We start from the raw sequence: 23,017 nt of genomic DNA, 5'->3' as shown, positions 1-23,017 counted from the left end.
ATGTGGAATTGACTTTGGAACAGGGTAACAGGCAGAGGTTGGAACAGTTTGGAGGGCTCAGAAGAAGACAGGAAAATGTAGGAAAGTTTGGAACTTCCTAGAGACTTGGAAGGCTCAGAAGACACGAAGATGTGGGAAAGTTTGGAACTTCTTGGAGACTTGTTGAATGGCTTTGACCAAAATGCTGATAGTGATATGGACAATGAAGTCCAGGCTGAGGTGGTCTCAGATGGAGATGAGCAACTTACTAGGAACTGGAGCAAAGGTAACTCTGCTATGCTTTAGCAAAGAGACTGGTGGCATTTTGCCACTGCCCTGGAGATCCGTGGAACTTTGAACTTGAAAGAAATGATTTAGGGTATCTGGTGGAAGAAATTTCTAAGCAGTGAAGTATTCAAGAGGAAACAGAGCATAAAAGTTTGGAAAATTTGGGCTGGTCGCGGTGGCTCACGCCTGTAATCCCAGCACTTTGGGAGGCCAAGGTGGGCGGATCACGAGGTCAGGAGATTGAGACCATCCTGGCTAACACAGTGAAACCTGTTTCTACTAAAAATACAAAAAATTAGCTGGGCGTGGTGGCGGGCACCTGTAGTCCCAGCTACTTGGGAGGCTTAGGCAGGAGAATGGCGTAAGTAAATCCGGGAGGTGGAGCTTGCAGTGAGCCTAGATCACACCACTGCTCTCCAGCCTGGGTGACAGAGTGAGACTACTTTTCAAAAAAAAAAAAGTTTGGAAAATTTGCAGCCTGACTATGTGATATAAAAGAAAAACCCATTTTCTGGGGAGAAATTCAAGACAGCTACAGAAATTTGCATGAGTAACAAGGAGCCCAGTGTTAATCACCAAGACAATGGGGAAAATGCCTCTAGGACATGTCACGGCAGCCCTTTCATCACAGGCCTCTAGAAGGGAAAAATGGTTTCCTGGGCAGGGCCCAGGGTTGCCCCTGTTCTGTGCAGTCCTGGGGCATGGTGTCCTGCATCCCAGCTGTGTCAGCTCCAGCCATGGCTTAAAGGGTCAAAAGTACGGCTTGGGCCATTGCTTCAGAGGGTGCAAGCCCCAAGCCTTGGTGACTTCCATGTGGTGTTGGGCCTGTGGGTGCACGTAAGTCAGTAATTGAGGTGTGGGAACCTCCTCCTAGATTTCAGAGGATATATGGAAATGCCTGGATGACCAGGCAGAAGTCTGCTGCAGGGGTGGAGCACTTGTGGAGAACCTCTGCTAGAGCAATGAGGAAGGGAAATGTGGAGTTGAAGCCCCCACACAGAGTCCCCACTGGGGCATGGCCTGGTGGAGCTGTGAGAAGAGGGCCATGGTCCTCCAGACCCCGGAATGGTAGATCCACTGACAGCTTGCACCGTGCACCTGGAAAAGCTGCAGACACTCAAAGCCAGCCCATGAAAGCAGCCAGGAGGGGAGCTGTACCCTGCAAAGCCGTAGAGGCGGAGTTGCCCAAGGCCATGGGTGCCCACCTCTTGCATCAGTGTGACCTGGATATGAGACATGGAGTCAAAGGAGATCATTTTGGAACATTAAGGTTTGAAGACTTCTCTATTGGATTTTGGACTTGTATGGGGCCCACAGCCCCTTTGTTTTGGCCAATTTCTACCATTTGGAATGGGTGTAGTTACCCAACGCTTGTACCCTTGTTGTATCTAGGAAGTAACTAACTTACTTTTGATTTTGTAGGCTCATAGGTGGAAAGGATTTGCCTTGTCTCAGATGAGACTTTGGACTTGGACTTTTGGGTTAATTCTGGAATGAGCTAAGATTTTAGGGAACTGTTGGAAAGGCATGATTGTGTTTTGAAATGTGAGGACATGAAATTTGGGCGGGGCTGGGGTGGAATGATATGGTTTGATTACGCCCCCACCCAAATGTCATCTTGAATTACAGTTTCCATAATCCCCACATACTGTGCAAGGGAACTGGTAGGAGGTAACTGAATCATGGCGGGGGTGGGTTACCCCCATACTGTTCTAGTGATAGTGAGTGAGTTCTCCTGAGATCTGATGGTTTCATAAGGGGCTTTCCCCTCTTTGCTTGGCACTTCTCCTTCCCGCCACCATGTGAAGAAGGATGTGTTTGCTTCTCCTTCCACCATGATTGTAAGTTTCCTGAGGCCTCCCCAGCCCTGCAAAACTGTGAGTCAAATAAACCTCTGTTCTTTATAAATTACCCAGTCTTGGGCAGTTCTTTATAGCAGCATGAAAATGGAGTAATACAGTTGTTTTGGCTTTTCAGGGTCCCTTAACATTTTTTGTAGAAAAACTACAGGCATGCATCATCTTATTTGTGCTTCCCTGTATCGAGCTTTGAAGAACTGCATTTTTTACAACTTGAAGATTTGTGACAACCCTGCAATTAGCAAGTCTATTGGTGCCATTTTTCCAACAGTACATGCTCACTTTGTGTCCCTGTGTCACATTTTGGTAATTCTTGCAATATTTCAAACCTTCTTATCATTATTATATCTGTGATGGTTATCTGTGATCAGGATCTTTGGTGTTGCTATTGTAATTGTTTTGAGGCACCAGAAACCGTGCCCATGTAAGAATGTTAACTTAATCAGTAAATGTATGTGTGCTAACTGTTCTATCAACCAGCTGTCCCCCCAGCTCTCCTTCGCTGGCCTCCCTATTCACTCCCTATTCACTTCATTGTGTCACTGAGACATAACAATATTGAAATTAGGAAAATTAACCATACAGTGGTCTTTAAAGTGGTCTTTAAGTGTTCAAGTGAAAGAAAGCATGGCATATTTGTCACTTTAAATCAAAAGCTAGAAATGATTAAGCTTACCAAGGAAGGCTTGTTGAAAGCTGAGACAGGCCAAGAGGTAGGCCTCTTGCCAAACAGTTAAGCTGTGAATGCAATGGGAAAAGTTCATAAACTCATGAATGTTAAGAAAGAGAAATGACCTTATTACTCATATGGAGAAAGTTTTAGTTGTCTGGATAGATCAAACCAGCCACAATGTTCCTTCAAGTCAAAGTCTAATCCAGAGTAAGATCCTGTTTTTTTCAATTCTATGAAGGCTGAGAGAGGTGAGGAAGCTGCAGAAGAACATTTGAAAGATAGCAGAGGTTGTATTAATGAGGTTTAAGGAGAGAAGCCATAACATAAAAGTGTATGGCAAGCTGCAGCAAGTTACCTCTATCTAGCAAAGATAGTTGATATAGGTGGGTACATGAAGTGACAAATTTTCAATGTAGATTAAACAGCCTTCTGTTGGAAGAAGATGCTATCTAGGACTTTTCATAGCTGGAGAGAAGTCAATGCCTGGCTTTGATGCTTCTCAGGACAGGCTCACTCTCCTAAGGGGATAATGGCAACTGGTGTCTTTAAGTTGAAGCCAGTGCTCATTTACCATTATGAAAATCCCAAGGCCCTTAGGAATTATACTAAAGCTACTCTGCCTGTTCTTTATAGACAGAACAACAAAGCCTGGGTGACAGCACATGTGTTTATAGCATGGTTTACTGAATATTTTAAAATGTGTGGGTCTCCCATGTATGTCTAGAGGATCTCTGCCATCATAAGAGAATTCTTCAAAGATCTTTCCTGGATAATCTCATCTCTGTTTCTAGCTTCTGCTGAAAAGGTTGATTTGGACCCATTAGTCACATACCTAATCTCTTCAGAAAAGGTTTTTCAGCCACATCCTTGGCCCTTCTCCAGAGCATGTTTTAGCATCTTTTACAATTTAGATAGGTTAAGAAATCTCCAAATCATAGGTTTTTCTTTGCTTAACAATTTCTTCCTCAATTTATCTCTTCTCTCACATTTTACTGTAAGCAGCCCGGAGAAAACAGTCTACGCCTTTAACACTTTGCTTGGAAATCTCCTCAGCTACATATTCAAGTTAATTGCTTACCAAGTTCTACGTTTTGCCACATAGTAGAACCCATTTCAGCCAAGTTTTCTGCCACTTTACAACAAGGACTGCTATTTCTTTACTTTCCAATACCATGTTCTTCATTTCCTTCTTGAGAGTTCATCAGAAACCTTTTTAATGTTCCTATTTCTGTCAACATTCTGTTCATGATAATGTATGTATTCTTTAAGGTGATAGCTTTCTTTACCTCTTCTCTTCCTTCTGAGCCATTAGCAGAGTTCTCTTAAGATTTCTTTTTCTACCAAAAATTTCTTCAAGGCAACCTAGGCTTTTTCTGTTTTTCTATTTTTAGGTATCACAGCAACACTCCAGTTTTTGGTATGAAAATCTATGTTAGTTCTCTAAAATTACCATAACAAATGAACAAAAACTTGGTGACTTAACACACAGAGATCAATTTTCTAACAATTTTGGAGGTCAAAAATACGAAGTCAAGTTGTCAGCTATGTTTATTATGAAAACTCTAGGGGGGCATCCTTCTTTGCTTCTGCAGCTTATGGTGTCATGTTATTCCTTGCCCTGAGACAGTGTAACTCCAGGCTGACTTCATTTTCACATTGTTCTTTTCTCTGTGTCTTCCTGTGTCCTTTTCTGTCTCTAATGAGGACGTTCCCGTTGGATTTAGGACCCTTTGTAATCTACTATGATCTCACATTGGTCCTTACCTTAATTACATCTGCAAAGACCCTTTTTCCAAATAAGGTCATGTTCTGAGGTTCCAGATGAACATGAATTTGGGTAGGGGAGGCAGGAAGGGGGACCATTTCTCAACTCACTATAGTCTCTTTTTAGGTAATTATATTATAAATGGTGTTGTATAATCTATATACAAATTTTAAAAAATTTCAAGGCTTGTGAATAATTATTATGACATTATGTTACAACGTACTAATACCTTTAATGTTTATATTAGAGAGTGCTGAACAGGAAAATCACTTTTCTTCTCAGACTTTATAATATATATAGAAGTAGGGGGTTATTTAATGAACTGCTTTTTTTTTTTTTTTAGATGGAGTCTCGCTTTGTCACCAGGCTGGAGTGCAATGATGCTATCTCAGCTCACTGCAACCTCTGCCTCCTGGGTTCAAGTGATTCTCCTACCTCAGCTTCTCGAGTAGCTGGGATTACAGGCGCGCGCCACGATGCCCGGCTAATTTTTGTATTCTTAGCAGAGGCGCGTTTTCACCATGTTGGCCGGGATGGTCTCGATCTCTTGACCTCGTGATCCACCCACCTTGGCCTCCCAAAGTGCTGGGATTACAGGCATGAACCTTTGCTTTTTAATGTGGATAGTGCACATTACATACACACACATATGTGAATAAATAGCGCTAAAGTTCTGTTGATTTAGAGAAGTTGGTTACTCAATATTTACTCACATCAATGTAGTAAGATCCTAAATTACCTCTTTATTAGAATAGTGGTTGTCTCTAGTTTTTTGGAATGATTAGAGATTAGATGTGAGATTAGATTTCCTCGAAATTTTTGCGTGTTTCAAGATCGAATTTAAAAACATTTAGCAAGTTCTTAAATAACTCAGGAGAATTTTTTATGAATAACAAATACAATTTAAGTATATTTAGATGTGTCTTCCAATTATGTGAGATTGTTAAGATTTTTGAGATCAAACATGGTGCTTGTAAGTGGATGAAACGATATATTTAAACAGACTATTGTTACAGGAGAAAACTCATTTTTAAAGGTACCAGGTTAAAAGAAAAAAAAAGTGGTAGTGTCATAAAGAGAGAAGATTGAATTAAAAATTTGAATTGATACAGAAATGCATTACAAAAGAGGAGGAAGAGAGATTGGCAGAAATGAAGAATTATCAGAAAAGTGAAATGTGTAAAAGCAAAGGCAAGAGATAAGATAAGAAGACTAAGGAGAGCAAAAGATGATAAGTAATGCAACTAATGGTTTACTGCTAAAGGGTAGAAGATTAATATATCAGAGTTTCTCTCAGCTTCAGTCAAATTGATGGTAATTATTAGAGTGAAACCGTATTCTTTATATCATTCGCCAAAGTTAAACTGCTTGTGTCATTTTGTCAGAAAATAGGAATCATTTTACGTATTAAATTTCAAGTAAATGTTATGTATTAATAACATTGATATGTGATATTGTATATTATATAGATATATGCAATTATGCATATTTAAAAGTGAATATGCATATATTGTTTTAAAGGCAAAAGTTTGTTTTTTGTGGCAGACACTGAAAAGTCACACGCAAACTCACACAAAGCAAACTTTAACATTTCAAATAAAAATAAAACTTTTTGGCCGGGTGCGGTGACTCATGCCTGTAATCCCAGCACTTTGGGAGGCTGAGGCAGGCGGATCACAAGGTCAGGAAATCAAGAGCATCCTGGCTAACACGGTGAAACCCCGTCTCTACTAAAAATACAAAAAAATTAGCTGGGCATGGTGGCGGGTACCTGTAGTCCCAGCTACTCGGGAGGCTGAGGCGGGAGAATGGCGTGAACCCGGGAGGTGGAGCTTGCAGTGAGCCGAGATTGCACCACTGCACTCCAGCCTGGGCAACAGAGCGAGACTCCGCCTCAAAAATTAATAAATAAATAAATATATATAAAAAATAAAAAATAAAACTTATTTTCTTAATCATAAGAACTGAGATAGAATTATTATAATTGACTATGAGGCAGGTTTTGACATTCAAGTCAGTGTCAAACGTATTGCTTTGCCTTTGTCATATTATAACTGGTCACAAGGTTTTTTTTACAGTATCACACACATTCCTTATATTCAGTACATATCTAATTTAGTCTTATATCACTAGTATTGTATTCTGCTTTTCTACCGCTTTTTTATTCTTAAAATTAACCTCAGGTATTCATGCTGACCTGCAGAAGTTAATGTTTGTATCCTTTCTATGTCTCAGTCTAGAACAGTTTAATGAACTGTTGATGGTTGCCCTGTCAACTCATTTAACTCTTGGAACATAGTTCTTTCTAGGTTGATCTCATATAATCTATTAGCTATTACTTTCTTCTCTGACCTGAATTCTCTGATGGATAAAGGACTTTAATATTGTCTGTTTTTTTAAGTCATTTTTTCCAAAGCGTCATAAAATTCCTGAATTCAAGATCTCATGGACCCATTAAGAGGAAGACGCACCGTTACAACTGTCATTCAGTCATAGTATAGACTACTAATTCAACTCAATATGGTTGAAAATAGCCTTCAACTAATGTAATTTTGATTTCCTGCTTTAGGATTCCTGAAATTGTGGATCACCCACCTATGCTTTAAGACATGCTTTATTTTTTTTTTTTCTGGAAGCCCTGCAACTTCCCTAAAAATTGAATGAATTGTAGAACAGACCTATGGTAAGTGGGCTTTTTCCTCCTTTTTCTTCTGTCGGTTTCATGTTCAACTTAACTCTTATGACTGTTGTAATGCTGCTCCCTGCTGGACACAATGTAATTTTGTAAAGTTGGCACTTAATAGATGGGCAAATAACTGGTTAGTTGGACCCACTAAGGAGGGGAATCTTTGGCTACATTCACAAAAACCAATAGTATGCAACAAAAGCAACTATTATAAAGGTGCTATATCATTGCCATCATGTTGGTACCTGGAGCCTGATGAAAGTACTGATAGTCTTGTTTCAAAATTTCATTGTCTGCTTCCTGTTGAGCAGCATCTAAAAGTTGGAATAACTGTACACACTGAAGGATGCTTCTAGGTGGTGAACCTTTGAGGATTTTGTAAATTGTGTAGGGTTTTTTTGTAATGTAAGTTAGTTTACTGTTAAATGTTCTGTAATAATTTCCATTCCCTGTACTTTTGTTTTTCCAAAGAAAATATCTAAAACTGCCCCAGTATAATTTACATTAGACATTGTATAACTATGCTATAATCCAGCTATCATGTTTTCTAGTACTCACAGTGTGGATTTCATCTGTAGTGTCTGTGACTTGCCTATCATGGACCTTCATGTTGTATGCATAGACAAGTGCTCCCAAAATTATTTTAAAATGTGTGAAAGTCAGAAGTGTGTTTCTTCCTACCTTAGGGCTAAGCTATTGTATTTTTTGAAATGCAGCATGCCTCAAATTATTACCTGAATATCATTTGGAATTAATGAGCATGCATTTTCTTGAAAAGAAGACTGACAGACAGAAACAACATGGAGCTGCTAAGCCAAGATCTAGCAGGATAACTGATCTTATATTATTTAAAGGCTGAAATCTACTTTTAATTAGGATTGTGGAGAATTAGGCATAGTAACTTATTTCTTCCTTATTAAAATATTGCATTAAAAATTAGAAATGTAGATCAAGGAAATTGTTGATAGCAGAAAGGAATCCTTCCTTTTTATAAAAATATATTAGTATTATTTTAGAAAGTATATAATTATAACTTTTTGTTGTAAAATATAGTGATACAGGAACATAAATATATAATACAATGAATAATTATAAATTAAATATTTAGCATACATCTTTGTAACCTTAGAGTATTACTGGCATCCCAGAAACTCTTGATATGCTTTCTTTTCTTTAGAGGTAACCAGTATCATGACTTTAATGGTAATTATTTATACAATTTTTAATATAACTTTGTCACTTTACGTGTATTCCTAAGCAGTATGTTTACTTTTTTCGCCTCATTTTAATCTTTATGAATCGTGTATTCTTTCTTCCTTTGCTCAGCATTATGTTTTGAAGAGTTATCCATGTAGTTATGTGTAGTTTTATTTCATTCATTTTTGTTATTATGTATTATCCCTTTGAATTAAATGTGCCAGAATTTATTCATCCATTCTGCTGTTGGTAGATCATTGAGTTGTTTCTAGTATTTGATGACATTGCTGAGAATGTGTTTTAAAAAATATCCTGGTTACATATCATGTGTACATTTGTTTATATCCTGACAGTAACAATATTAAATGTTGGGGAACATTCTAAAATGATTATCATTTCTTTTATTGTAGGCCTTACATATATAGTAAAGTGACATATAGTTTGAGATAGTTTAAATATAGAGTACATATAAATAGATCTAGTTATAGTATTGATGTAGATACAGGACCTAATGCAGTAACTCTGTTTCACTTTGTTAGCACACTTATTCTATTTAGTAACATATCATGCCTTCTATAACTCCTTCACTTTACTGATGAAGAAACTAAGGACTAGAGAGATTGAGTCACTTGAACAAGGCCATTTAGCAAATTGGAGCTAGAAGCCAGACTAACCTATCTACTTTGGCAGTTACAACTTAAAGTAAAATGAAATCAGGACATTTTCTTGAGTGTTCCAGTCATTTAAGTGAAAATATGCCTAAATAGCTTGCAGAAAAAATCAGATATTCCTTCGGCTATTAACTAACAACTGGCTTAGCATAGAAAGTTGCATGTCTATCGTAAGGAGAGGTCATTACAAAAAAAAAAAGGGAAAAAAAAGTTTCACATCTAAAGCCCCCATAGTTATTGCACTTTATCACAGTTCATCTTCTAAAGGGCAACCACTGTATATTCTGATTTTAACCGAGAAGTTTTACTTTGAGTACTTCATCAGAAAAACGTGTGTCTTTGTTCTCTTAAACAGAATACATTTTAAGTTTTTTTATAATGGCTCTGAGTTGTTACTGTGAACATCAGTCATTTTACAGAATTAAAGTGATTTCCTCGGAATTCTATGCTGTGTTGGACTGTTTTCTTCTAAATTATCCTAGCCTGATAAGCTTTTTTGTCCTCAGAGCTACTGTGATGTGTTTTCTCATTTGTTTTGTTTTCTTTTACATTTGTTAGGTAATTCTTGCTTTTTGTTGTCAGTGCCTTCCGTTTGACTCATATTTAAAATCAACGCATTTGCCTAACATTATGTATTACTTAGGTGAGAGCTTAAGTATGGTTCTGTCACATCTGCTGACTATAAGAGTAGAGAATGTGTGCTAGCATTTTAAAATTCATTTTGGTATCAGCAACTAGTCTAGCCACTTTGTTTTTACAGGATATTGAGATAACCTCAGACCGATTTCTGTCTGACCGACTGATTTCTGTCTAATATATATGCAACATAGGTTGCGTATCCTTATTTGGGGAATAAATATGATCATTTACATGTTTTCCAGCTAAACAGTTGTAGGATTATTGAAAGTGATTTACTTAAGTATGACTTCAAATAGGAAGTCCAGTGGACTTGGTGTTTGTTTTCTAATTATTAAATATTTGATAGGATAGACATTGAAATAAAAATAATACATTAGATGATACTACCTGTTAAAAATGGCAGTTACAAAGGTTAAATCACCTTTGAAATTACGGCTTTAAAAAATATAGAAGTAACACAGATTTGACTTCATGAAAACATTTAAGTGGTTTAGGAAAACATTCATTTAGAAGTGAAATGCATTTGACTTCGTATCCATTTATAAACTATTGAATGTGAATTTTTTAAAAAACTGGAATAGGGAGTATATTTGTTTTTGGAGCACAGGAGATATTAGAAAGACAAACAGTTGCTATCCCAGCACATTTAGGCATTAATATGCTGATTTACTGAGTTTATATGAGGTTTGTTTTTTAATTTGAAAATTTATTTGCTTTTAACCTTTCTAAGTCAACAAATTTTACATTTGCATCTGGGAAAAAAATAAGCCAAGAGCTTTATGTAGTTTATTGCAGTGAGCACATCGTTGGAAATTGCCTTATAAACAAAGTATTTTAGAGGCCCGGAGAGAGGAATAGCTTTTTTTCAGGATAAATCAGAGATGCATAGGTTGTGGAAGTGCAAAATGATGCAACTCCTGTGGAATGCAAATTGGCAATTTCTAGAAAAAGACCAATGCATTTACCTCATCTCAGTACCAATTTTGGGAATTTATTACAGAAATTCTTGTGTGTACTTACAAAATAACATATGTATAGGAGTTTTCATTGTAGCTTTGTGTGTGGTAGCAAAAGATTGGAAATTCCTTAGTGTCTATAGGCAACGTGTTCGTTAAATGAACTATGACAACTACACAATGAAATACTCTACAGCTGTTAAAAAAAGTGGATTTTTTTTTCTATATGAACATTTGGAAAGTTTTTCACATACCATTGTTATTTGGAAAAAGCAGAATTCAAAACAATGTACAGTAAGGTACTTTTTGTGTAAATTGGGAGGGGAATAAAACCATATATTCATATTTGCTTATATTTACATAACAAAATCTGGAAGTTTATACAACATCTAAGTCTTTGTGGGGATGAAGAAGAAAACAGGGAAGATGGGACTTTTACTGTATATATCTTTTAGATTAGTTTTAACTTTTGAATATGTTAATATGTTAGTAGTTGAAAATAGTTTTATTTGTAAATCAAATGAGAGTGAAAGGGGTAAGCCTGCTATATTTACTGTAAAATTAGCTATTTTTATTCTATTTTCCCTAGAGCCTGACAGATAGTAAGCAGTGAATAAATAAATATTTGTTATACAAATTAAACAAACTATAATAATCTTTGGATGATCTTTCCTAGCTTATCTCTTAAAGCATCTTTTCAATATAAGAAAAAAAGTATTATAAATCATATTGATTCTAGTATGGAAACAAGGGAAATATTTAATTGGGAGATATGAGATGTATAGTTTATTATCAGATTATCATGAAGCTTTATTTAATGTGTATGGTATTGTTATTAAAGAGTAAATTATATTTTAATTTCATTGAAAAAATGATAGTTTTCAAGGAATGCTATTAAATTAAGTAATACACATTCATGATTAACAAACTAACGCTTATGAAATTTGGGAGGAAGAGTGAAAACGGCAATCATATATTCTGTATACTGCATTCTGTACCACTTTAGTTTCCCACATATAAAGGCAAATCTTCAGTCCGGAGACTATTTTAAAAGCTGTGTTATAATAGCAGTATCAGTTACTTCCAACACGAAGACTGGATATCTCTGAATACATGATTGGGATCAAGGGAAGATAATAGGGTGAATGTTATAAATGTCTTCCATTTATAAGCATCCAGGAAGTTAACTAAGTAGTTGAAAATTTGGTTATTCAAATAGATACGGTAACAACCCTCAGTTTTCTCCCTTGGATTATATACATGTCAGTTCCTAAATTTCTTATGACAAGGATTTAGACTATCTTTATACATCTGTGTATTTTTATGTAAAAGTGCCTTCTTTAAAGAAAGCTACACATACAGGAAAGTGCACACTTTGTGAGTGGATAGCCTAATGATTTTTTTGCAAACCAAATACACCCATATAACCAGCACCCAGATAAAGTAAAAGAACATTGTCAGCACTCCAGAAGACACCTTCATGCACCCTTCCAGTCACTGTGCCCCCTCCCCCAACAAGGATAATCACTGCCTTGAATTTTAATAGCAGATTCATTTTTCTTGTTTTTGTATTATATATAGAAAATTATACAGTATCATTTTTTGTGTGTCTGATTTCCTTTGTTCAACATAGTGTCTTAAGATTTATCTATATAGTTGTAGTTTGTTTTTATTGCTGCATGTAGTTGTGAATATATAACTATTATTTATCCATTCTACTGTTAGTGGACATTTGCGTAGTTTCTATATAATGCTATTATGAACATTCTAATATGTATTTCTTGAGTTATGTATCTACACATTTCTTTTGGTGATATATCTGGGAGCAAAATTACTGGTCAGCAACATATATATGTTCAGCTTTAAGCAACAATGGCAAACAGTTTTCTAAAATGTTTGTATCAGGCTATATTTATAGTATGCGAGAGAGTTCTAGTTGCTCCACATGTTTCCAACACTCGTTTTTTTCCCCCCATCTTTTTCATTTTTCCAATTCTGGTGGGTACAAAGTAGTGTACCGTAATGATTTTACTTTATATTTCCCCAATTAATGAAGTTGAGTACTTTTTCATATGTATATTGGCTGTTTGGTTATTTTCTTCTGTGAAGTTCCGGTTCACTTCTTTGGCCCACTTTTCTGTTAGCCTGTCATTTCCTTTGATTTGTGGGAGTTCTTTATATATTCAAAATATGAGTTCTTCATTGATGATGGGTATTGCAACTATTTCTTCTTCTATGAGGTTTGTCTTTTTACTCTCTTAATAGTGCTTTTAATGAACAGAAGTTTAAGTCTTTAAAGTAGTCTAGTTCATCATTTATGTTTAGTGCTTTTTAATTCTTGTTTAAGAAATATTTATCTACTTCAAGAATGTTTTATCTTCTTAGTTTTTCTTCAAAAGCATTTTTGCTTTACCTTTAGATTTAAAATTTCAGTCTGTATTTACATATTATGGAGTTTTGCAGTGCTTTTGGACTCAGTTTGTATCTGGAGACAGAAAAAATGAGGTGGACTTAGGCCGATGACCGTAATTATGTACTTTCTATAAAATACTCCCTTAAGAAAACAGTGTGTTTATTCATGTTCACCTTATGTGCAGTTTTAATGTACTACTTTAGTTGTTTGTTAGTTTGCCTTTAAGGAGAGTCTACTAGAGTATTAAGGGAGGAATTTGGGGATGAAGAGATAAATGTTATGATTTTTAATATTTTAAGCAATAGTATTCATAAATAAGTTTATTCATGAAATACACAATTTTGTATTCACAGACACAATCCCTGTTACTTCATTGGGCATCATCTTTAAAGCTTAGGATTTTAAATATACCTTTTTTTTTAAATTGAGGGAAAAATTAGGTTTTAACTTTTGTCACCAAATCAAAATAAAATGCTAGCTATTTGAAAATTATTTTTATAAACTTCTTTTAAATTTTAAGTAAGATTTCTTGTGCAAGTTATGAACATTTATGAGGTCTTCAGTTATTCTTTTTATTGTTCAAAAATGCATTCACTATATGTTCTGATTATGGGCTATGATGTTGTAGAAAAGTGTTTTTTCATGCCCTGATATTTTAGTTTTTATCTTGTCCATAATGTATATTATTAACTTCATGATTATTATATTACTTAATTTTATATTTATATTTCCTAATGAAAGTAATTGCCTATTTAAAAGTGTTTTTTTGTCTCCCGTTACAGTGCTGAAATTAAAGAAAGGTGATTGTAATAACTCTTCACTAAGCATTTAGATATTTTTCACTTGCCAATTGCATTTTTTAGTTTAAAGCATCAAATTAAGTATTATTTTATCCTGGCTTTTATTTTAATTCATGCATTTAAAAACTGAAATTCAGATAAGAGATAGTTTGAAAATAAATTCAGTATATTATTTATGAGTGGAGCAACACATTAGCATTGGGTTCACAATAGATCATATCGCTTTATTCCATCTTACAAGCTTAGCAGCACAAACAGAATAATCAACATATTATTTGGCTGTCATCTGCTGAACAGAAACCAGAGATCACAAGGAGGTTTTCCCTAGCTGTGGTGATGGCCTTTTTGTTCCAAGCCCCCATCTGGGAGGGCCATGGTGTGTTATCATATGGAACGCGGGGTTTTCTGTAATCTGCTTAGCTGCACTGCAGTTTGAATCTTCATTCCATGTTTGTGTAATTTATAATTTTAATGAGACCATGGCTCTTGTGGGCTTTGAAATATATTAAAAGCTCTTTTGTGCATATGCTTTTGTTCTTGCTTAATAGGCTCAGTGTATTTAAAACTGATGAATTTTTATTCATGAATTTGGATGTCTGGAGATTAACTCAGACTGAATATCATTGCACTCATCTATTGATGGTTAGAAAGTTTTTTTGTTATTATTATTATTTTGCTTTTGTGTGTGTGTATGTGTAATGTCTATGTGATACTTGTAACCAGAAAAGGAATAAACCTACATAATTGTAAAAGGCTAAAAATAAGTAGCATGACTAGGTCATAAAAAATTGATTTAAATTTTATTCATCTTATTTATTGATACTCATATCTCAATTTCATCTTTAGCCTCAGTATTACAGATAGATATTATAAAGGAATGATTATGAAAAAGCAACTTTTAAAATGAGTTAGTACCTTAAGAACATGTTTATATTAAAATCATATTCCAGTGTGTGACAAAGATAGACTTTGTTTTAGTTGTATAGTATCAGTTGTCTAGTCATTCTAAATGAATAATTACATTTCCTGAATTACATTATTTTCAGTTTTACTTATTTCTATAAATGCTTTTTATTAAAGGATTTTTTAAAAGAATTTCATTGATGATATGATCAAAAGACTAATAGAAAAGCAGCCTACTAATAATTTATAATGTTGACCTTTTTATTTTGTGAATATTCTGAAGTATACTAAATGTCTCAAATCTCTGTAGTTATTACTTAAATGTACTTTAAAAATTTGAATGTAACCAATTACAATAACACCATAGAAAAAAGTTCATCCCTTTCTAGATCCAAACATGTTTTTTGAAGTTGCTATCTTTTGAGCTCAATGAGGGAGTAACACAGACCTCACTAGTCTTTTATGAAATTGCTCAAGAGACAATTTTTTTAAAAACCTGTATTTACTGGACTAAAGCATTTTGTAACTACATCACATCATTCTTTTTTTATACATCGATGGTCAGCAATTTGGCAGGTCTTCTTTCACCACCATCCTTAAACTGAAAATATGAAGTAGAAGCTAAAATGACAGGATTTTATACTTTCTTTACTAAGCTTATCTACCAGATTTGACACTGGAATGTTTGTTCTTCCATAATTAACCCTCTGCTTCAGTATTTTTATTAGTTGCACCATTTCATTTGGCTTAGGAACATAGGAAAATATAAGACCTGCTAAAGTGGTGCTTTCCATTAGAAACATAATATGAATCACATAATCAGCTATAACCAAAATATTTTCAATACGTAATCAATATAAACATTAACAAAATACTTTCCCTCTTTTGTATTAAGTCTTCAGAGTCCAATGTGTGTTTAATACTTATAGTACATCTCAATTTGGACTAGTCATCTTTTAAGTGGCCTCATAAGGCTAGTGGCCACCTTATTGAACAGTATAGTTCTAAAGTATTACACAGTTTTAACAAAATATCATAACAAAAATATGTACTTTTTACATTTCTGATTTTTCTAGTAATATCCTAGTCAAGGTAACCAAAGAATATTCATGTGCTATGTAGTTGAAATTACATAAAGTTTTTTATAGCACTAATACCATTGGTTTATATCTTTCTGTGTGATACATAAAATCCAATTGTGTCACCTGACTTTTGAGTACTTATCAGACATTGTACAGATATGTTTAAAGAGATTGTGATGATGACGTGATAATGACTAATGTAATAAATGTGGAGTGTTCCTCAAAAATTGTCGGCAAATCAAACTTGTCAAGTAAGCCATATTGCAAGTATACTTAGGAGTTTAGTTTTACAAGAATTCCATCGCAAATCTTAGTACTTTTTTTTTATATAAAACTTACAACGTCTTCACATCCTTAGATTTATTCTGGACAGATGTTTGTGTAAATGTATATGAATCAGTCTTTTCATATAAATTTGCTTAGATAAGCTGGTATAGCTGTTATGTCATGGGTGGAAGAAGCTGATTATAAAATATCATTTTCCTAATTTCTCTAGAATTCTATACATTTAAAATGTTCTGTACATATTTAAATGTGAGGAGAGATTTCTTCACTGATAACTATTTTAAAAACATATAGTTAAGAATTATAAAACCTTGAATTACAATTTATTTGACTTGATTCAAATATTTTAAAGTATAGTTATAAAATGATCAAGGAAATTTATATAAAATACTGTAGGCATACATATTTTATTTAAAATGGTCATACATAATTGACTTTGCACAAGTATGAGTTAGAGAAAACCATATTTATGAAATCTCTGAGTTTTTCACATTTTCTAAATTTCGAGGGCTATGACCTAATTTTATGTAATATCATTTTTAGTTATTAGCCAATGCCTGCTGTATTCTTGGACTCACATTTTTATTGACTACTCCCTGTGACTCCTGCATTTAAAGTGTTGGCACAAAATGTTAAACTATTCTTTAAACAATACCTCTAGTTTCTTGGAGATGATAAATCCGTCCATTGATTTCCTAATTTTATTATGTACACAGTCAATTGTAATCCAAGATTACAGCAAACAAGATGTTAATTTCTAGACATAATCTATGTACATTTCAATTACAGAGCATGATTGTTATAGAAGCACAGAATAAAAAAGAATAACATTTGTGCTATCCTCACAGGAGCTGTCAATAAAAGATGTAATAGGGGATTTAGAAATCTGGAAATGGCCAACTAATTTATGTGAATCTATTTTATTTCAGCTAGAAAGACCAAGCTCTTTTTCGTCTGCACTGCATATTGCAGAGCACAGGCTGTCTATACAAAACCAGGCGGCTGCATATGGATAGTCCCCTGATATCATTCACTTGCTGTGTAATCTTATTATGCAAAGTTCTAATCTTCACCTAGAATGAATGCCTCTGGGTCAGAATATAGTCATATCAGGGTTTTTGAGGTCATGTTTTGTGATCCTTAGCTTATTCTTCTAAGTAGGGCTGGGATTTAAAGGGTATTCCCCAGATACTAGCAGAGATAGACAGCAGAATCTGCTGCCTTTTTGGAAGACAAGACCAACATGAGGTCCCTGGTAGGATTAAACTTGATTTGTAGCTGTAGGATTTTTTAACAGATGTATTATTGGACAGGGAATAGGGGGCCAACCAGCACAGCAAAACTGAATCACGACTGACATTCTCAGGGAGTTTGCTGCCGGCTAAAACAGCAGCTGCATGTGGATTTGACTTCTTTCAGGTGAAGCGACTTCCAGTCATTTGGAAAGGATGGGATGAAAAGGAACCTTGGTGATAATTTTGATGTCTGCAAGATTTAGTACCAGTGTAATGGGATTATCGGTAACACCTTCACTGCAGAAAAAGCCACCTGGCGCTATAACTGGCAGCAACTGAGAACTAATCCTTTCCCATCTCTTGGATGTCATTCATGAAGCTCAAAGCTATTTCTGCCCTGCTAACTGTGATTAATTTTATAAACAACAACAACAAAAAATCAGGTCATCAAGGCAAAGAATATGCTCTTTATTATTTATAATATGTAACCTTATGTTAAGCTATATGACTTAAAATTATGCAAGACATATACAAACTAAGCTATATGATTCAAAATTTATTAAGCTATTGAAATAGAAAAGTTGATCAATGATGTCTTGGTTTTTTTAATTGAATGGCAAATTATTTACTATTGGTAACAATTCATATTTCAGATCAAATATTAATTTAAATACTTTTATATTCTTTTGGCTATAGAGCCACTATGAAATTAATCAAAATGTCTAGCTGTAAGGAATTGAAATAATATGTTTCGTCATATGTTTTACCTGTTTTTGACTGCTTCAGTTGCTACTGATGAAATGTTTTTGGTGAATAAAACATAATTTGAAATATATAGACACCTATATTTTTTGTAATGAAGGTAATGCTAGCTGAAACTGCTGATGAAAGGGCTTTTGGTGAAATATATGATTTTAATATATAAAAGTATAGAGTAAATAGGAATACTGAATGACTTATTTTTAAAAATCAGTGATTCTTAGTAACTTTTCCTTTAGATGGAGGTTTAGTTGTGTGCTTAAAAATCAGTGAGTTAGTTAATTGATTTTGTTAGCTTTTATTTCAACTAAAAACTTTATCAAGTACTTTGGCTGGAGGTGTTAATTATTTTAATATTTTTTTCTAACACGATCCAATATAAACTGAGAGAAAATGAAGTGAAATTATCCCATCAGTCACCCAAACAGTATGCAACGTAACTGCCAAGACTAGAAAAGATAATTAGTGTTGTCAGTGTTATGATCTTAGAGTACTTAATTTTAAAATATTTATTCATAGAACTTGGATTTTATCTCATAGCTCTTTTGTTTAGTAGCTGTATCTTTTAAAAAATAAATTATACAGCCTCAGTCTAAATGTTTTTAAACTTTAACATTTTAACTAAATATAGGTGACTAAAGTATTTTCTTGAAATTATAAAAATAATTAAAATATAATCAATTTTATACCTGATGCACACCATTAATGTACTACCACCTCTGTTTATGTGTAGTATCTTTTATTCTTTTCCATATAAAGTCTTTACTAGAAAAGTCAGCAAATATAATAAATTTATACAGAGTTCCCGGGTTTGGTTTAACTGGTTCCAAGCTACTGTATTTCAAATTGTATTTCCAAACTTTTACCACATTTTGAATGAATAAATGAGAAAGCTTGCCAATATTTCCAGTAAACTGCATTGTGTTACTTTTATAAAGGACGACTTTTGCCTTCTATTTGTATGTTTGCTGTTTGGAAAAATTTTTATTTTATTATGATGAAAAAAGCTATCCATGAAGTAAATAAGTGGACTAAAATCTTTTTCTTACCCTCATAATAAAATTACTTATTTTAAATCTAAAATATTTGGTTTATGTGTAATTTCACATTATTTTGCCAGGTAGGCTATTATCTCAGCATAACTTTCTATGGTAGCTTGTAGTATTATATATTTATTTTTAAAAGTAGTTTTGCATTCAAAACAGAATTTGTCTGGAAGGTTTTACTAAACCTGGTCAGTATTTACTTTTTTACTTTTTATTCAGGTATTTACTGAACAGCTCTTGAGAGTTAGTATTTTTTCCTTCTCCGTTCTAGGGGTCACTCTTATTTGTTTAGAGATGGTTATTTTCTTTAGAACGTCTCAAATAAACTCATCTGAAGTAAATTCAACATAAAACATAAGATCTTCTCAATGGTATACATTCTTTTCATAAAAATACAGGTTATTTGAATTTTAATATCTGTTGATAACTTATAAGAAATTTGGCTTATCTTAAGCTAGATACTAATTTGCAGCACAGGCAACTCATGATGTCAGTAAGACTTAAGGGAATTATTTTTGGAGATAAGAGAGTGGGATATACGATGAAATGAGAAGAAATTTTTTAGAAAGAATGATAAGTCAGGTATAACAAAAGAATAGGATGGGGCTGGGCATGGTGGCACCCGTCCCTGGTCCCAGACACTTGGGAGGCTGTAGTGGGAGGATTCTTTGAGCCCAGGAGTTGGAGGCTGATCTCTCTAAAAGCCGTTCATGAACTGTGGCACAGTGAGGGTTAGCCTATGATAATGCTAAATGATATTTCTTTTTGAATTAATATTCTTCCACTGTTACTCATACAACTGCTATATTTTGAAATAGATCATTTAATAGTTGTATTATTGGTGAATGAATGTGGATGTTTTGGTATTTTACTTTTTGGAAGGTGATGCTTTCTTATATTAAAATGATCAACTGCTTATTCTTTATAAACATAAGGTGAGTTTCAATTTTGGTTATATGTGAAAATGTAAAATTCAGAAAATACCAGTGGACTAATGAAATACATTGAAGTATTAGCATTATAATATTTACTTGATGAAAATTTATAGAATTATCCCAAAGTTAACGTTCACTTTAAAGATAATGAATGGGTAAATTTTGTCAAGTCTCTGAAAATATTGAGTATGCGTCGGTGGTCTTAAAGGACAGGACAAAGTCCTTTACTGGACTTCCTTCCTGGGAGCTTATTAAAACTATAGAATCTGCAGCCGGGTTCCCAGAGATTCTCTTTCATTAGCTCTGTGATGTAGGATGAGAATCATAGGAATCGCAGGGAGCCTGGGAATTTGGATTTTTAGTTTTTAATTTTGGTTGATATTAGGTTTTCATGTTATTTTGATGCTGCAGTCAAATTTGAAGCAGTATTCACTGCTTTAAACTTTAAAGTAATGGCAGTTATTTCCTCTGCTAATGAAACAAAATAAACAGGTTTAGTGTTTTTTTCTAATTCTTTTTGAGACAGGGTCTTGCTTTATTGCCCAGGCTGGAGTGCAGTGGTAAGATCATGGCCCACCTCAGCCTTAACCTCCTGGGCTCAAGTAATCCTCCCAAGTAGCTGGGACTACAGGTGTGCACCTCATGCCCAGCTAATTTTTTAATTCAAAATAAACAGATTTTAATAAAATCTTCATAGATTATGGGAGTATGAGTGCCTTGAGTTTGCAGTTTTAGAAAATAAAAATCTCTATACAAATCTTACAGTAGATTTAACACTTATGGATTTGAACAATTCATGAGCAGCCCTGAAGGTGATTTTGAAATGACAGGAATTTGAATTACTTTGATGGAGACTCTGCTGTTTGAGAGTGAATTATTTAGCTATTGAGCAGAGTATACTACTCAGCATAATGAGTCTTTGTTGTTCTCTACTTGTCACAATAACTTCTACCTAGGATCTTAAGTGGACATATATCTCTCAGTTACTTTTTATGCATCATTCTGTGGGGAAAATGGATTTTGTGTAAGTATTCTTGACTTTGAACATCTCCAAGGTCTCAGAAATGTCAAAATCTACTATTTTTTCTTGCCCAAATGAAGGTAAATGTGGCAAAACTATGATGTAATTTGTTTTCTCCTTCCCTATCTAACTTGTTTCTGCTCACCCTTTCTTAATGTGAACACTTCTTTAAATGCTAATTTATTCTCAAACTCTGTTCCTCTATCGGAACAAAAATACATTAATGACATTAAATCATTTCTGTGATTGCTTATACTTTAGAATGAATGAATTTATGTAAACCGATGGTCTTAACATTTGACATATATATACATATATAATGTATTTACATACTTGTATAATGTGTATATATATATTTTTCCTGTTTCTGAAACGAAATGCTTTCTCTTTTCAAAGGAATTTCAGACCTGAACAATCAGGTGGACAACTTCTTGTGACTTTGGGTATTCTGAAATTACTGTAAGTCTACTTCAGTCATTGGATCCAAATTAGAATCTTAGAATTGGATGCCTATGCCCAGAAATTTCTAAAGATGGAGGAATCTCTAATTTCTTTTCAGCTTCTGAGGTTCACTCTGCTCAATCTTTTTAGCTGGTTTTAACATCAGTCCTACCTCTATCTTTCCTATGTGTCTCTATTCCCAGATGCCTATTTTATAGTATCCAAAAATTTTTTCATTTAAATTGAGAGGCAATATGGTGTAGTATTGGATGTTAGACCTAAACAGCTTCATTTTGAATTCTGGCCTGGCCTCTAATGAGCTGCATGACTTTGAATAGTTCCTTCATCTCTCTGCTCCTCAGTTTCTTTATCTGTAAAATGAGATATCAAAGGGGCCGGGCGCAGTGGCTCATGCCTGTAATCCCAGCACTTTGGGAGGCTGAGGCGGGCGGATCACAAGGTCAGGAGATGAAGACCATCCTGGCTAACATGGTGAAATCCCGTCTCTACTAAAAATACAAAAAATTAGCCGGGCGTGGTGGCAGGCGCCTGTAGTCCCAGTTACTTAGGAGGCTGAGGCAGGAGAATGGCGTGAACCCGGGAGGCGGAGCTTGCGGTGAGCCAAGATCGCGCCACTACACTCCAGCCTGGGCGACAGAGCGAGACTCCGTCTCAAAAAAACAAACAACAACAACAACAACAACAAAAATTAGCCGTGCGAGGTGGCGGGCACCTGTAGTCCCAGCTACTCGGGAGGCTGAGGCAGGAGAATGGTGTGAACCTGGGAGGCGGAGATTGCAGTGAGCTGGGATTGCGCCACTGCACTCCAGCCTGGACGACAGAGCGACACTCCATCTCAAAAAAAAATAAATAAATAAATAAAAAATAAAAGAGGTATCTAAGTTCTCATAGGGTTGTTTTAAGGATTAAATGAGTTAATATATGTAAAGTAATGAAGAGGCTCTTAAAAGATTTCTGGGGAGGATCCTCCTATACTTCTTTTGCTGTATGACACAGTCACAATTTTTATGCTGCTTTTCACTTTTTCCCTAGCTTTTCTATTAATTATTTGAAAGAATATATAGGTTCCCCTTTAAAGAAATTGGTTCTCTACATTAATGACTCAGTTTTTTTAATGTAAATATGATAGGGAATAAAAAAAGTAACAGATTCTGAATTTTTTGGTGCCCAAGCTTCCCAGATTTTTTTCACAGCACACATGGTACATGGTAAGTTATACAACACAAAGTAGTAAATGACTGGATAAATAGGGCTGCCCAAGGCTGGCAATGGCCATTGGTCACCAAGAGTTTAGAGCAGTCACTTGGAGAACTTGTTAAAATACGGATTGCTGAACAACGCTTCCTAAGTTTCTGATTCTAAT

At 34.6% G+C, this 23,017-nt stretch overlaps 1 protein-coding gene across 13 annotated transcripts in view, besides 4 other annotated features; it reads left to right on the top strand.

Moving 5' to 3' along the window:
* Positions 1-23,017, top strand: part of IMMP1L (inner mitochondrial membrane peptidase subunit 1) — a 77,222-nt gene that overhangs the window by 14,248 nt on the left and 39,957 nt on the right. For 3 of the 13 annotated variants that reach the window (XM_017017306.2, XM_005252812.4, XM_011519943.3), the window contains exons 2-3: positions 7,134-7,247; positions 21,589-21,651. The exons of 6 other annotated variants lie outside the window; for them this stretch is intronic. In XM_017017306.2, coding sequence (XP_016872795.1) covers positions 7,225-7,247; positions 21,589-21,651 — 86 coding nt within the window. In that variant the 5' untranslated portion in view covers positions 7,134-7,224. The remainder of the gene's footprint in view (positions 1-7,133; positions 7,248-21,588; positions 21,652-23,017) is intronic. 4 more of the 13 variants (NM_144981.3, XM_011519946.3, XM_011519942.2 and 1 more) reach the window with 2 other exon arrangements.
* Positions 9,806-10,006: a silencer, noted in NCBI's record as "peak1240 fragment used in MPRA reporter construct". NCBI's record gives its function as "represses an SCP1 promoter by STARR-seq MPRAs in K562 erythroleukemia cells {active_cell/tissue: K562}" and the evidence as "EXISTENCE:reporter gene assay evidence [ECO:0000049][PMID:32103011]".
* Positions 13,765-14,887: an enhancer, noted in NCBI's record as "VISTA enhancer hs863". NCBI's record gives its function as "enhancer in: midbrain (mesencephalon)[7/8]" and the evidence as "EXISTENCE:transgenic organism evidence [ECO:0001131][PMID:17130149]".
* Positions 13,765-18,052: a biological region, named in NCBI's record as "HCNE8 enhancer downstream of PAX6".
* Positions 16,482-18,052: an enhancer, noted in NCBI's record as "PAX6_hs8 or HCNE8". NCBI's record gives its function as "enhancer in midbrain" and the evidence as "EXISTENCE:transgenic organism evidence [ECO:0001131][PMID:19073165]".

The sequence above is a fragment of the Homo sapiens genome, chromosome 11 (assembly GCF_000001405.40).
Source record: "Homo sapiens chromosome 11, GRCh38.p14 Primary Assembly".
NCBI lineage: Eukaryota > Metazoa > Chordata > Mammalia > Primates > Hominidae > Homo > Homo sapiens.
The sequence above is the reverse complement of the archived record's forward strand: the minus strand, read 5'-3'. Positions and strand labels throughout refer to the sequence as shown.